Source organism: Homo sapiens, chromosome 17, assembly GCF_000001405.40.
Source record: "Homo sapiens chromosome 17, GRCh38.p14 Primary Assembly".
NCBI lineage: Eukaryota > Metazoa > Chordata > Mammalia > Primates > Hominidae > Homo > Homo sapiens.
In genome coordinates this window covers 29,178,406-29,190,923 of record NC_000017.11, presented here as the reverse complement: position 1 = coordinate 29,190,923, position 12,518 = coordinate 29,178,406, and the positions used below count along the sequence as shown (strand labels likewise).

The 12,518-nt window shown below is 47.4% G+C and overlaps 1 protein-coding gene across 4 annotated transcripts in view, besides 4 other annotated features; it reads left to right on the top strand.

The window, feature by feature from the left end:
- Positions 10,447 to 10,667: a silencer, noted in NCBI's record as "fragment chr17:27507275-27507495 (GRCh37/hg19 assembly coordinates)". NCBI's record gives its function as "represses an EF-1alpha promoter that drives an FKBP-Casp9 reporter gene in an ReSE screen in K562 erythroleukemia cells {active_cell/tissue: K562}" and the evidence as "EXISTENCE:reporter gene assay evidence [ECO:0000049][PMID:32094911]".
- Positions 10,447 to 10,682: a biological region, named in NCBI's record as "ReSE screen-validated silencer GRCh37_chr17:27507275-27507495".
- MYO18A (myosin XVIIIA) overlaps positions 10,526 to 12,518 on the top strand; it is a 109,277-nt gene continuing 107,284 nt past the window's right edge. For all 4 annotated transcript variants that reach the window (NM_203318.2, NM_078471.4, NM_001346766.2 and 1 more), the window contains exon 1: positions 10,526 to 10,611. The gene's annotated coding sequence lies outside the window, so the exon portion shown is untranslated. The remainder of the gene's footprint in view (positions 10,612 to 12,518) is intronic.
- Positions 10,633 to 10,682: a silencer, noted in NCBI's record as "silent region_8368". NCBI's record gives its function as "represses an Ori minimal core promoter by ATAC-STARR-seq in GM12878 lymphoblastoid cells {active_cell/tissue: GM12878}" and the evidence as "EXISTENCE:reporter gene assay evidence [ECO:0000049][PMID:35858748]".
- Positions 10,803 to 10,852: a silencer, noted in NCBI's record as "silent region_8367". NCBI's record gives its function as "represses an Ori minimal core promoter by ATAC-STARR-seq in GM12878 lymphoblastoid cells {active_cell/tissue: GM12878}" and the evidence as "EXISTENCE:reporter gene assay evidence [ECO:0000049][PMID:35858748]".

Sequence of the window (12,518 nt, the reverse complement as noted above, 5' to 3'; positions counted from 1 at the left end):
CTAGCCAGGAGATCCACAAGTACTTCTGGAGGCCAAGTTCTAGAAGGAAGGCAGGTCGAATAGGCATTGACTAGCAGGCCAGGGAGGCAGGCTCTAGAATTAGCAATTGGGCGGTTACTGCTTGGGTGACCAACTCACACCCAGAACTTTCTCAGTTTTAGCACTGAAAACTCCCATCCTGGGAATGCCCTCAGTCTCGGGCAAACCAGCAGAGTTGGTCACCCTACTGCTGACCTTACCATGAGTGATGTCAAGAAAAGTTTAGCTTGCAAAGAGCTAGCTTCTGAAGGTATCAATTTTCCTTAAAGTTGATGACCTAAGTCCTAAGTTGAACCTTTTTTTTTTTTGAGACAGAGTCTTGCTCTGTCGCCCAGGCTGGAGTGCAGTGGCGCGATCACACCTCACTGCAGGTTTGACCTCCCACACTCAAGCAATCCTTCCACCTCAGCCTCCCGAGTACCTGGGACTACAGGCACACCTGGTTCATTTTGATTTTTTGTGGAGATGGTATCTCACTGTGTTGCCCAGGCTGGTCTTAAACTCCTGGGCACAAGTGACTAGGTTGATCCTTTCTGAATCACTCCAACCATAATAACATAAAGCTCTCTTTGTACAGCACTTGACCATTGTATGACCTCATTTGATCCTTACAATAACCCTGCGAGGTAAGAGTTTGTAGCTGCAATTGCACAGGAGTGGAGATGGAGAGGTTGGCGTTTGATGAAGCACCTGTGCCAAGTAAGTGGCAAAGGCAGGGCTCAATCTCAGCCTTTTAACTCCAGAAGCATTTGCCTGGCTGCCTCCTGGTTGTAGATGTCCATAGTCTGGGGAGCTGGGCTCCTGGCTGGCAGGGCTATGGATCCCCTGCTCACTGTAGAATCAGGCAGAGGTCAGGAAATTCTTGGAAGTGTAGAAGGAGCCCCACAGCTATGTGTAGATCAGTGCAAGAGTAAGGCTGTAGGTTCATAGAAAGGCCACTACATAAACTTATGCCATCAGGGGTTTGTAAGAGGGGCCATATTCTATGCAATAGCCAGGCTCTTAAACAAATTTTTCTGTGGTAAAATATGCATAACCTAAAATTTACCTTTTTTTTTTTTTTTTTTTAAAGACAGGGTCTGGCTCTGTCACCCAGGGTGGTGTGCAGTCATGTGCTCATAGCCCACTGCAGCCTCGAACTCCTGGGCTTTAATTATTTTATGTATAAAATAGTTAATCTCTGCATTTTAGCTATTTTATGTGTACATTTAAATTATTTTATGTGTACAATTCAGTGGCATTAAGTACATTCACAATATTGTACAACCATCACCACTATCCATTTCCAGAACTTTAAATAATCCCCGGTAGAAACTCCATACCCATTAAACAATGACTCACAATTCCCCCCACCCTTAGTCCATGGTAACTTCTATTTTCTGTCTCTATGAATTTGCATATTCTAGTTAGCTCATATAAGGAGAATCAAACAATATTTGTCCTTCTGGGTCTGGATTCTTTCACTTAGCATAACATTTTTAAGGGTCATCCATGTTGTAGCCTGTATTAAAATTTCATTCCTTTTTATGGCTGAATAAAAATGTGCATACGTTGTATGTATATGCCACATTTTGTTTATCCATTTATCTGTTGCTGGATAGACTCTTTTTATATTCTTATATTTCAAGTGAAGACAATCATTAATTTCTGATATCTTAAAGTATCGTTTCAGAGACAACTGGATACTATGTGCTTCCAGATATAAGAAATATTCTTGCCAAAAAAAAATCAAACTCAAAGCTGATCAAGCCTTAGATCTATCTACCAATGATAGGATATCAAACTACATTATGTGGATGCAATAAACAAAATCCTGACTGTGAGAAAATCTATAGGATAAATGACCATGTTTCTTCAACAAATAAGTTGCAGGGGGAAAACAGAAAGAGATAGAAGGGAAACCTGTAGATTAAAATATACTTAAAAGTCATGTCAACTCACTGCAATGTGTGGACCTTGATTCAAACAGACATTTTTTAAAAAAAGACATTTACGGAGACAATTGGAATTTATGGAGATCATTCCATCATGGAGATAATAGAATGTTTGACGATATTAAAAAATTATTGTTTAAGGCCGGGCATGGTGGCTCACGCCTGTAATCCCAGCACTTTGGGAGGCTGAGGCGGGTGGATCACCTGAGGTTGAGAGTTCGAGACCAGCCTGACCAACATGGAGAAACCCCATCTCTACTAAAAATACAAAATTAACTGGGCGTGGTGGCGCATGCCTGTAATTCCAGCTACTCGGGAGGCTGAGGCAGGAGAATCACTTGAACCCAGGAGGCGGAGGTTGCAGTGAGCCGAGATCGCACCATTGCACTCCAGCCTGGGCAACAAGAGTGAAACTCTGTCTCAAAAAAAAAAAAATTATTGTTTAAAAATTGGTATGACCATTGTATTATGGTTTTGTTTAAAAAATAATCCTGGCTGGCGCAGTGGCTCACGTCTGTGACCCCAGCACTTTGGGAGGTTGAGGTGGACGGTTCGCTTGAGCTCACGAGTTGGAGACCAGCCTGGGCAACATGGTGAAACTCCGTTTCTACAAAACAAACAAACAAAAATTTACCTGGGCATGGTGGTGCATACCTGTAGTCCCAACTACTTGGGAAGCAGAGGCAGGAGAATCACTTAAGCCCCAGAGGCAGAGGCTGCAGTGAGCCAAGATCGTGCCACTGCATTCCAGCCTGGGTGATAGAGCCAGACCTTGTCAAACCCTTACCTTTTAGACATACACAATGAAATTCCCTTTCTTTCTTTCTTTCTTTTTTTTCTTTCTTTCTTTCTTCTTTCTTATTTTGACAGAGTCTCTCTGTTGCGTAGGCTGAAGTTCAGTGGTACAATCTCAGCTCACTGCAACCTCCACCTCCTGGCTTCACAGGATTCTCCTGCCTCAGTCTCCCAAATAGCTGAGATTACAGGTGTGTGCCACCACGTCTGGCTAATTTTTGTATATATATTTTTTTAACAGACAGGGTTTCACCTTGTCGGCCAGCTGGTCTCAAGCTCCTGACCTCAAGTGATCCACCCGCCTCAGCCTCCCAAAGTGCTGGGATTACAGGCATGAGCCACCGTGCCCAGCCTTTTTGATTATTTTGAGACAGGGTCTCGCTCTGTTGCTCAAGCTGGATGCAATGGTGTGATCTTGGCTCACTGCAACCTCCGCTTCCCTGGCTCAACTGATCCTCCTGTCTCAGTCTCCCAAGTAGCTGGGACTACAGACACACATCATGCCAGGCTAATTTTTTTTGTTTTGTATTTTTTTGTATTTTTAGTAGAAGCAGGGTTTCACCATGTCAGCCAGGCTGGTCTCGAACTCCTGACCTCAAGTGATCTGCCTGCCTTAGCCTCCCAAAGTGCTGGGATTACAGGCATGAGCCACAACGACCTGCCTGAAATTTTTTTTTATCCTAATTTTTTTTTTGATTTTTACTTTTTTTGAGTCTCACTCTGTCACCCAGGCTGGAGTACAGTGGCATGATCTTGGCTCACTGCAAGCTCTGCCTCCCAGGTTCACGCCATTCTCCTGCCTCAGCCTCCTGAGTAGATGGGACTACAGGCTCCTGCCACCATGCCCGGCTAATTTTATGTATTTTTAGTAGAGACGGGGTTTCACTGTGTTAGCCAGGATGGCCTCAATCTCCTGACCTCATGATCCTCCCACCTTGGCCTCCCAAAGTGCTGGAATTACAGGTATGAGCCACCGCGCCCGGCCCGGCCTGAAATATTTTTATATAAAATTATTTGATATCTGGGATTTGCTTCAAAATTATACTCAGTGTGGGGGTTGGGGAGTAGGTGGAAAGATAGTTGAAACAATATTTCTGTGAGTTGATAACTATTGAAGTTGTATGCTGGCTACTTGGGGGTTTATTATATTATTTTGTTTACATGTATATGTGTTTGACTTCCTGTTAGTAGCTTTTTTACCTCATTTCAGAGACGAGTTTCTTCATTTTGGACTGATCTTCAGCCAATACTCTAAGAATTTAGCTTTAAGTTTCCTGGAGAGCATTCTCCACCCACACTCCAAGTTTCTGCACAAAGGGTAAAGGATCTTAAGCTAATAAATGCAATAAGCTAATAAATGTTTGAGGAACAATATTTAAAGGTGTGCTTTTGACGTTTGAACAACACCAGCTATCAGGCAGATTTGCAATTCTGTGGACTTTTAAAAAAGCAGACTTGCTTATTTTCAATTCTTTTTGGAGAGTCATATCGTGGTAACTTACCACATGATAGGCATCATCTTACACACTTTACCATTTGCTATATCTTCTAAGCCTCACAGTAACTCTACATATTATTATCAGCCTCCATTTTACAGATGAAGAAATAGAGGTTCAGAGAGATTAATAATTCCTAACACTTGTTAACCACTTACTGTGTTTCGAGCACTGGGCTAATTGCTTTAAATGAATTTGCTTATTTTATTATCTCACACCCTTACAAGGTAGGCAATATTAATATTATTATTATTATTATTTTTGAGACGGAGTCTTGCTCTGTCCCCCAGGCTGGAGTGCAGTGGTGGGATCTCAGCTCACTGCAACCTCTGCCTCCCAGGTTCACACCATTCTCCTGCCTCAGCCTCCCAAGTAGCTGGGACTACAGGCGCCCGCCACCACGCCCGGCTAATTTTTTTGTTTGTTTGTTTGTTTTTTAGTAGAGACGGGGTTTCACCATGTTAGCCAGGACGGTCTCTATCTCCTGACCTCGTGATCTGCCTGCCTCGGCCTCCCAAAGTGCTGGGATTACAGGCGTGAGCCACTGCGCCTGGCCACATTATTATACCTCTTCTGTAGATGAGGAAATTGAGGTTTAGAGAGGCTAAGGAGCTTGCTGGCAGCTGCTAGAGCCAAGCATCCTCTCTGTGAGGCCCCAAAGCCCAGGCACTCACCACTCCACCCAGGATGCAGCCCAGAGCTTCAGGGCAAGCATTCCAGGCTCTGCTGTTTATTAGTCACAGTGCCTTGGGCAAATTAATTCACTTTCCCAAGCCTGGTTTCTAATCTGTGAAATGGGGATAAGACTAGCATCTCCCTAATATGGTAATTCTGGGGATTAAGTGAGACATTGGATTAAGGGGTTAGCATAGTGCCTGACCCATAGTTAGGCTCCCTTGATATAAGTGATTTTTATTACCCAGCTTCTTTCTGGGGTGGAGGGCTTCTTGATTAAAGTCGGATCATTTTAGGACTTTAGGAATCTTCTGGAAAAATTGGCCTTCCCATGACCATCTGGGTGATTTTATGTGGATACTGCTCTGGCTTTTTTCTGTGCGAAGAGGAGAGGGGTGCTTTACTTTTACTTTTACTTAGAGCTAGGGCAGGGTTTATTCTGGCATTTGGGAAGGAAAAGACTAAAATCAAGTGACGAAGAACCAGAGTTACTGTGTCAGTGTGAGTGCTGCCCTGGAGTTTCAGTCTTGCTTAGTGTCTGAAACTGGTTCCTGGTTCAGGCAAGAAGAGCTCTCAGGGACACCATATGCTACCCAGAGAGTGCCCTAGGTGTAGACACATGTAAATAAAAGAGTTGTTGACTGGCATGTGGTGGCTCACGCCTGTAATCCCAGCACTTTGGGAGGCCAAGGCAGGCGGATTACCTAAGGTCAGGAGTTTGAGACCAGCCTGGCTAACATGGTGAAACCCTGTTTCTACTAAAAATACAAAAAGTTAGCCAGGTGTGGTGGCGGGCGCCTGTAATCCCAGCTACTTGGGAGGCTGAGGCAGGAGAATCGCTTGAACCTGGGAGGCGGAGGTTGCAGTGAGCTAAGATGGCACCATTGCACTCCAGCTTGGGCAACAAGAGTGAAACTCTTCCTAAAAAAAAAAAAAAAAAAGAGTTGTTAATATACCTATTCATTTCACTGCCATGGTGTAGGGAAAAGAATGGGCTTTGGAGCCTTAGGGACCTCAGTTTGAATCCTGACTCTGCTACTCTTAGGCTGGGTACAAGTCACAAAGCTGTCTGTGCTTCATTTCCACAACTATGAGTTAGGAAAGATAACCAAGCTAACAGCTATAGAATGCTTACCATGTACTGGGCATTGTTCTTTTTATATATTAAATCATGTAATTTTTAAAAATTAATAAATACAAGGCCGGGCAAAATGGCTCACGCCTGTAATTCCAGCACTTTGGGAGGCCAAGGTGGGTGGATTACCTGAGGCCAGGAGTTTGAGACCAGCCTGGCCAACATGATGAAACCCCATCTCTACTAAAAATACAAAAATTAGCCTGGTGTGGCGGCACATGCCTGCAATCCCAGCTACTTGGGAGGCTGAGGCAGGAGAATCACTTGAACCTGGGAGGCAGAGGTTCCAGTGAGCTGAGATCACAGCACTGCACTCCAGCCTGGGTGGCAGACTGAGATCCTGTCTCAAAATAATAATAATAAATATTATTTTAAAAATCAGTTTAAGTTCACAGCCAAATTGAGCATAAAGTACAGAGATTTCCCATATGCCCCCTGCCCCGACACATGCACAGCCTTCCCCACGATCACACTCTTCACCAGAGTTGTACATTTGTTACAATCGATGAACCTACATTGACACATCAGTATCCCCCAAAGTCCATGGTTTACATTAGGATTCACTCTTGGTGTTGTACATTTTGTGGGTTTTGACAAACACATAATGACATGTATTCAACAGTGCGGTATCACACAGAAGAGTTTCACTGCCCTAAAAATCCTCTGTGCTTTGCATTTTCATCCCTCCCTCAACCTTAATCCATGGCACCACTAACCTTTTTATTGTCTCCATAGTTTTGCCTTTTGCAGAATGCCATATAGTTGGAATCATACAACATGTAGCCTTTTCAGATCAGCTTCTTTCACTTATTAATATACATTTAAGTTTCCTCCATGTCTTTTCATGGCTTGATAGCTCATTTCTTTTTTAGTGCCACATAATATGCCATTGTCTAGATATACCATAGGTTATTTGTCCATTTACCTACTGAAGTTCATCTTGGTTGCTTCCAAGTTTTGGCAATTATGAATAAAGTTGCTACAAACATCATGTGCAGGATTTTGTGTGGACATAAGTTTTCAATTCATTTGGATAAATACCAAGGAGTGGGATTGTTGGATTGTATGGTAAGAATATGTTTCATTTTCTAAGAAACCACCAAACTGTCTTTCAAAGTGGCTATACCATTTTGCTACCAGCAGAGAATGGGAGTTCCTGTTGCTCTACATTCTTGCTAGCATTTGGAGTTGTTGGCATTTCGGATTTTGGCCAAAATCCAAATTTAGGTAAATAAAGTAGTTTTACCTCATGGTCATCTTAATTTGCTATTCTCTTTTATTTTTTATTTATTATTATTTTTTGAGACGGAGTCTTGCTCTGTCACCCAGGCTGGAGTGCAGTGGTGCAATCTCGGCTCACTGCACCCTCTGCCTCCTGGGTTCAAGTGAATCTCCTGCCTCAGCCTCCTGAGTAGCTGGGACTACAGGTGCATGCCACCACACCAGGCTAATTTTTGTTCTTTTAGTAGAGACAGGGTTTCACCATGTAGGCCAGGATGGTCTGGATCTCTTGACCTCCTGATCCACCTGCCTCGGCCTCCCAAAGTGCTGGGATTACAGGCGTGAGCCACTGCACCTGGCTTTAATTTGCTATTCTCTAGTGACATACAATGTTGAGTATCTTTTCTTTTGCTTACTACTATCTGTATATCTTCTTTGGTAAGGTGTCTGATCAGGTTTTTTACCCATTTCTAAATTGGGTGGTTTTCTTATTGTTGAGTTTTTAAAACTCTTTGCATATTTTGGATAACAGTCCTTTATCAGATGTCTTTTGCATATTTTTAGTAGAGACGGGGTTTCACCATGTTAGCCAGGATGGTCTCGAGCTCCTGATCTCATGACACACCTGCCTCAGCCTCCCAAAGTGCTGGGATTACAGGCGTGAGCCACCGCACCTGGCTTTAATTTGCTATTCTCTAATGATATACAGTGTTGAATATCTTTTCTTTTGCTTACTGCTATCTGTATATCTTCTTTGGTAAGGTGTCTGATCAGGTTTTTTGCCCATTTCTAAATTGGGTGGTTCATTTTCTTATTGTTGAGTTTTTAAAACTCTGCGTATTTTGGATAACAATCCTTTATCAGATGTCTTTTGCATATATTTTATCCCAGTTGTGGCTTGTCTTCTCATTCTCTTGACAGTCTTTTGCAGAGCAGACATTTTTAATTTTAATGAAGCCCAGCTTATCAGCTCTTTCTTTTATGGTGCCTTTGGTGTTGTATCTAAAGAGTCATTGTGATACTCAAGGTCATCTAGGTTTTCTCCTATGTTATCCTCTAGGAGACAGTTTTATAGTTTTGTGTTTTACATTTAGGTATATAATCTATTCTGAGTTAATTTTTGTGAAGGGTATAAAGTCTGTGTCTAGACCCCCCCCTTTTTTTTTTTTTGCATGTGGATGTCCAGTTTGTTGAAAAGCCCCATGTGTTGAAAAGACTAAGCTTATATAATTTTCAAAACAAATTTTGAGGGAGGGAGTCACTGTTATTATCCCAATTTTTTGGATGAGCAAAGTGAAGCACAGAGAGGTGATTTATAAAAAATCACCCAGAGTAACACAGCTAGTACTTTACAGAACTGAGATTTTGAATCCAGGCAATCCAGCTCCAGAGTCCATGCACTCAACCCCTATCTATAATAATAATGTCTCCCTCATAGGTTCATTGTGAGGAGTAGAGATAGTGTCTAGTATATAATAGGTACTCAGGAAACACTAATGATAGTCGTTGTCCTACTTAGCCTGCAAGGTTCCGCTCAAATGTCATGTTTTTGGGGTTTTTTTTTTTTCTTTTTTGGAGACAGAGTCTTGCTCTGTCGCCCAGGCTGAAGTACAGTGGTGTAATCTCCGCTCACTGCAACCTCTGCTCCCCAGGTTCAAGAGATTCTCCTGCCTCAGCCTCCCAAGTAGCTGGGATTATAGACATGCACTACCACGCCTGGTTAATTTTTTGTATTTGTAGTAGTGATGGGGTTTCGCCATGTTGGCCAGGCTGGTCTTGAACGCTGGCCTCAAGTGATCTGCCCACCTCAGCCTCCCAAAGTGCTGGGATTACAGGCATAAGCCACCATGCCTGGCCTCAAATGTCATGTTTTTGAAGCTGCTCTTCTCACTCCTCAAGCCAAATAAGCCTCCCATCATAGCACCTATCTCATCATCCAAGTAATGCCAGCATGGTGAACCCTACTACTGTCACAGCTCAGGTCTACCTGTTCCCCATGTGATTTCCCTGGAGATATGCCATGTCTGATCTCCTTCTGTGTCACCCCAAGTGCCTGGGGCTGCACTTGGCACTTAGCAGGCAGTTTGTTAAATTGAATTTGAGTTGCATGTTATTCCAAAATGTGTATCCCGCCTGGGTCTATTCCTCAGGAACTCCCTAACTCTTACTCAACTCTCTGCTTTCTGAGCCTCCTTGCTCCAGCCTTCCCTGGTCTGTCAGGTTGGGCTGCCCTTGCCTGGAGAAGTTCCTGTTTGGGCTGTCTAGGGAGGTAGCAGCATTTGTCTGCTACACCCTTCTTCCTGCACCACCCCACTCAGTTTCTTCCACATTCTGGCACACCCCACTCCAGCATGGACACTGCCCAGGGAAGTGTCCCCATTTCTTTCTTTCTCCAAACTCTAGACATAGCACCTATCTTGGAGGCCTGGTATCTGGATGTCCCTTGGCCTCTCCCAGGAAGTATAAACTGTCTTCTTGGTGGGTACAGCAGCTCACTTGATATTTACAGCACACAGTGGACCCAGGGACAGACTGCATTCCAAAGAGCTTCTGAAAGTGTTAATCTTGGCATTGGTGAACTCCTTTAGGGAGTGAGTGGCACTTACAGCCATGGCTCCCGGGCCCTGGTACGCCTCTTGATCCACTCCATTTTGAGGCAGGGCTGTATCAGACCAAGCTATTGGGAGTCTGTTTTTACCTTGGGGAGTGCATTCTGGCAGTGCCATCTCGGACATGGCAGGCAGTACCTGGTCTGGACTGAGCCTGGGGCACCATCCAGCAGGGCCCTGTGTGTGCCTCTGCAGAGCCACCTTGGGAGGAGGCGGCCAGTAAGACTTAATTGCTTCCTTTAGACAGCACTACCTTGAACACAGCCTGCAGAGTTCGGTGCCTGCCTTGGACAGCCCCTCTTCTATACGTTCATCATGACCCTGGTGCCTGTCCTAGGCAGTGCCACTCAGCCCCTTTCGGACCCTTTTCGGACAGCCTCCAGTGCCCAGTGCAGACAGAAACTCCAGGCAGGGCCTCTCTCAGACACAGCGAGAGGGGCTTCGGAGTCCACAGCGGACGGAGGCTGCCAGGGCAGCGCCCGGCCCGCCTGGCCCACGTCTGGCGGCGCGCACTGGCGCTGCCAGGCAGGCCGGGCGTTTATCCCCACAGCCGCCAGCAGGGAGCTCCCTTTCGGCTCGGCCTGCGCGGTCGCTGGGGGCGGCGCTGAGCTGCGCCGCGCTGCGCTCTGCTCCATCCCTGACCGGGCCGAGGCTGCTGGATGCCGCGTCTCCGCTTCTGCTGCCTGCCGGGCGGGCTCCGGTGGCCGGTGAGTGCCGGTCGGCGGCGGCGGCCGCTCGGTGGCGGGCCCGGCTTGGTGGGGCGGCGGGGCGGGCTCCGGCCGGGAGGGAGGGCGGGCGGGCGGCGGGGCCCGCCGGCTCCTCCTCCTCCTCCCCCGTCCCCTGGAAGCAGCGGCCCGGACTCCCGGCTCCCGTCCCTGGCGGCGCCGTGGAGCTCGACGCCCGGGGGTGGGGGCCGATCGGGAGCGGCGGGGAAGGGGGAACCACCGGCCCTTCCAGCCAACCTGGGGGGCGCAGGGAGGCAGGACAGGGTGGCCTTCAGTGTGGGGGGATTTGGGGCTTGGAGGCGCCCAGGTGGCCCGGAGCTGCGGGGTGGGGGCTGCAGCCTCGAGGGTGGGGGGACTTCTCCTGCCCCCGTCCAGGCCCCACGATGGAGCGAGCGAGAGAGCGGGGCGCTGAGGAAGGCAGCGGGGAAGGGGAGCACCTCTACCGACCCTTTTATCCCTCCCAGCGGCCTTCACTCTTTCACTGCCGGGCAGACTGCGGGCTCCTCTCAAAGGAGCAGCTGCTAGACAGCTGGCAAAACAATGGAGACCCCGCTTCCCTGGGCCCCCTCCTCTTGGGACAGAAGATGAGAGGGTGAATGGTGGCAGGCTTTGGGGATTAGGGAGTGCAGGCTGTGCCCTGAGACTGAATGCTCACCTCACCTTTCCCTGCAGAGGGGTGGGGTGCGTGTGGGAAGGTCGGACAAGCTGCCCCAGGCCTCTGGAGAGACCGCCCCGACGCCCCGCCCTGCTAACCTGTCATGCCAGTTGTTTCGCCAATGGGAAGGGGAGGTGGTAGGGGTGGCTGCCCCCTCACCCTGCCCCTTGTTAGTGGGGGTGCGCTCCTTGGTCCCAAACCCGGCCAGGAGTGTGGGTCATGTTCCTGGGTGCGATAAGGCCCGCAGGGACAGGCCAGGCATTGGGGCTTTGTTTTGGGGGTGGAGATGGGGGAGTTGCCCTACTGCAAGGCACATGTGTCTTGCTGATTAGTTGGAAAGGTTGCGGCCAGAATGAGCTAGAGGTGGGGGGTGGGGGAGATGGGGAGGAAGACAGCCAGTTTGTTTTTGAGCGGGTATTCATTTTGCCTGACCACTTTGCCAATGGGGCATGTGTTTGGCGCTGGCCTCATAGTTTGTATTTGTGTGGGGAGGGCTGGGGGAATGCTTCCTGAGAGGGACTGTCCTGGCTAGGGCTTTCATTCCCTCAGATGGCCACCCCGAATTAAAGAATTGGATTCCCTCCCTGCTTCACCCTGCCAATGACTTGGGCTAGTTAGTGTGGGTTCGTCTTGTCTTTTGGAGCCCCTGGCGTGTCTGTGGCCGAGAAGGCCTCATCAGTGCCCCTGTGGCAAGTGAGCTCTGGGAAGTGTGTATGCACTGGGGTGTGCTGGAAGGGAGGGGAGGCCACCTGGGTGATTAAGAGCAAGATCACCTGAGCAGGACGGTGAGTACAGAGCCCATTGAATCAGCCGCCTTTCCCTTGTGCTTTGGAGCCCTTTTCTTGAGCAGGTTGGTGCCCTGTTGTTGTGGCAACAGGCCTGGCCTAATGTTCCCCACCCTTTTTAGTTCAGGGGCTACTTTCTATCTGGAGATATTGAAAGTTGCTCTCCTGAGGTCTCTGGCTTCCTGACAAGCCTCACTGGCTCTTTGTCCATGGCTTCCCACCTCCTCAGCTTCCTCTCTGTTTTTTTGTGATGAAGTCTTTCCAGGAAACATCCTCCTGGTTTCTGGATTTGACATGACGGGTTATATATAGCCTCGGGTGGAGGTGTGCTTGTCCATTTTGGGTTGAGGACATGGGGGTTGTGGCCTCAATTCCAGGAAAACCATGGCTTTGGGGGCAGCTATTGTGTTGAGGGATTAGGGGAATGAGAAGGGTTGTAGGTGGGGGTG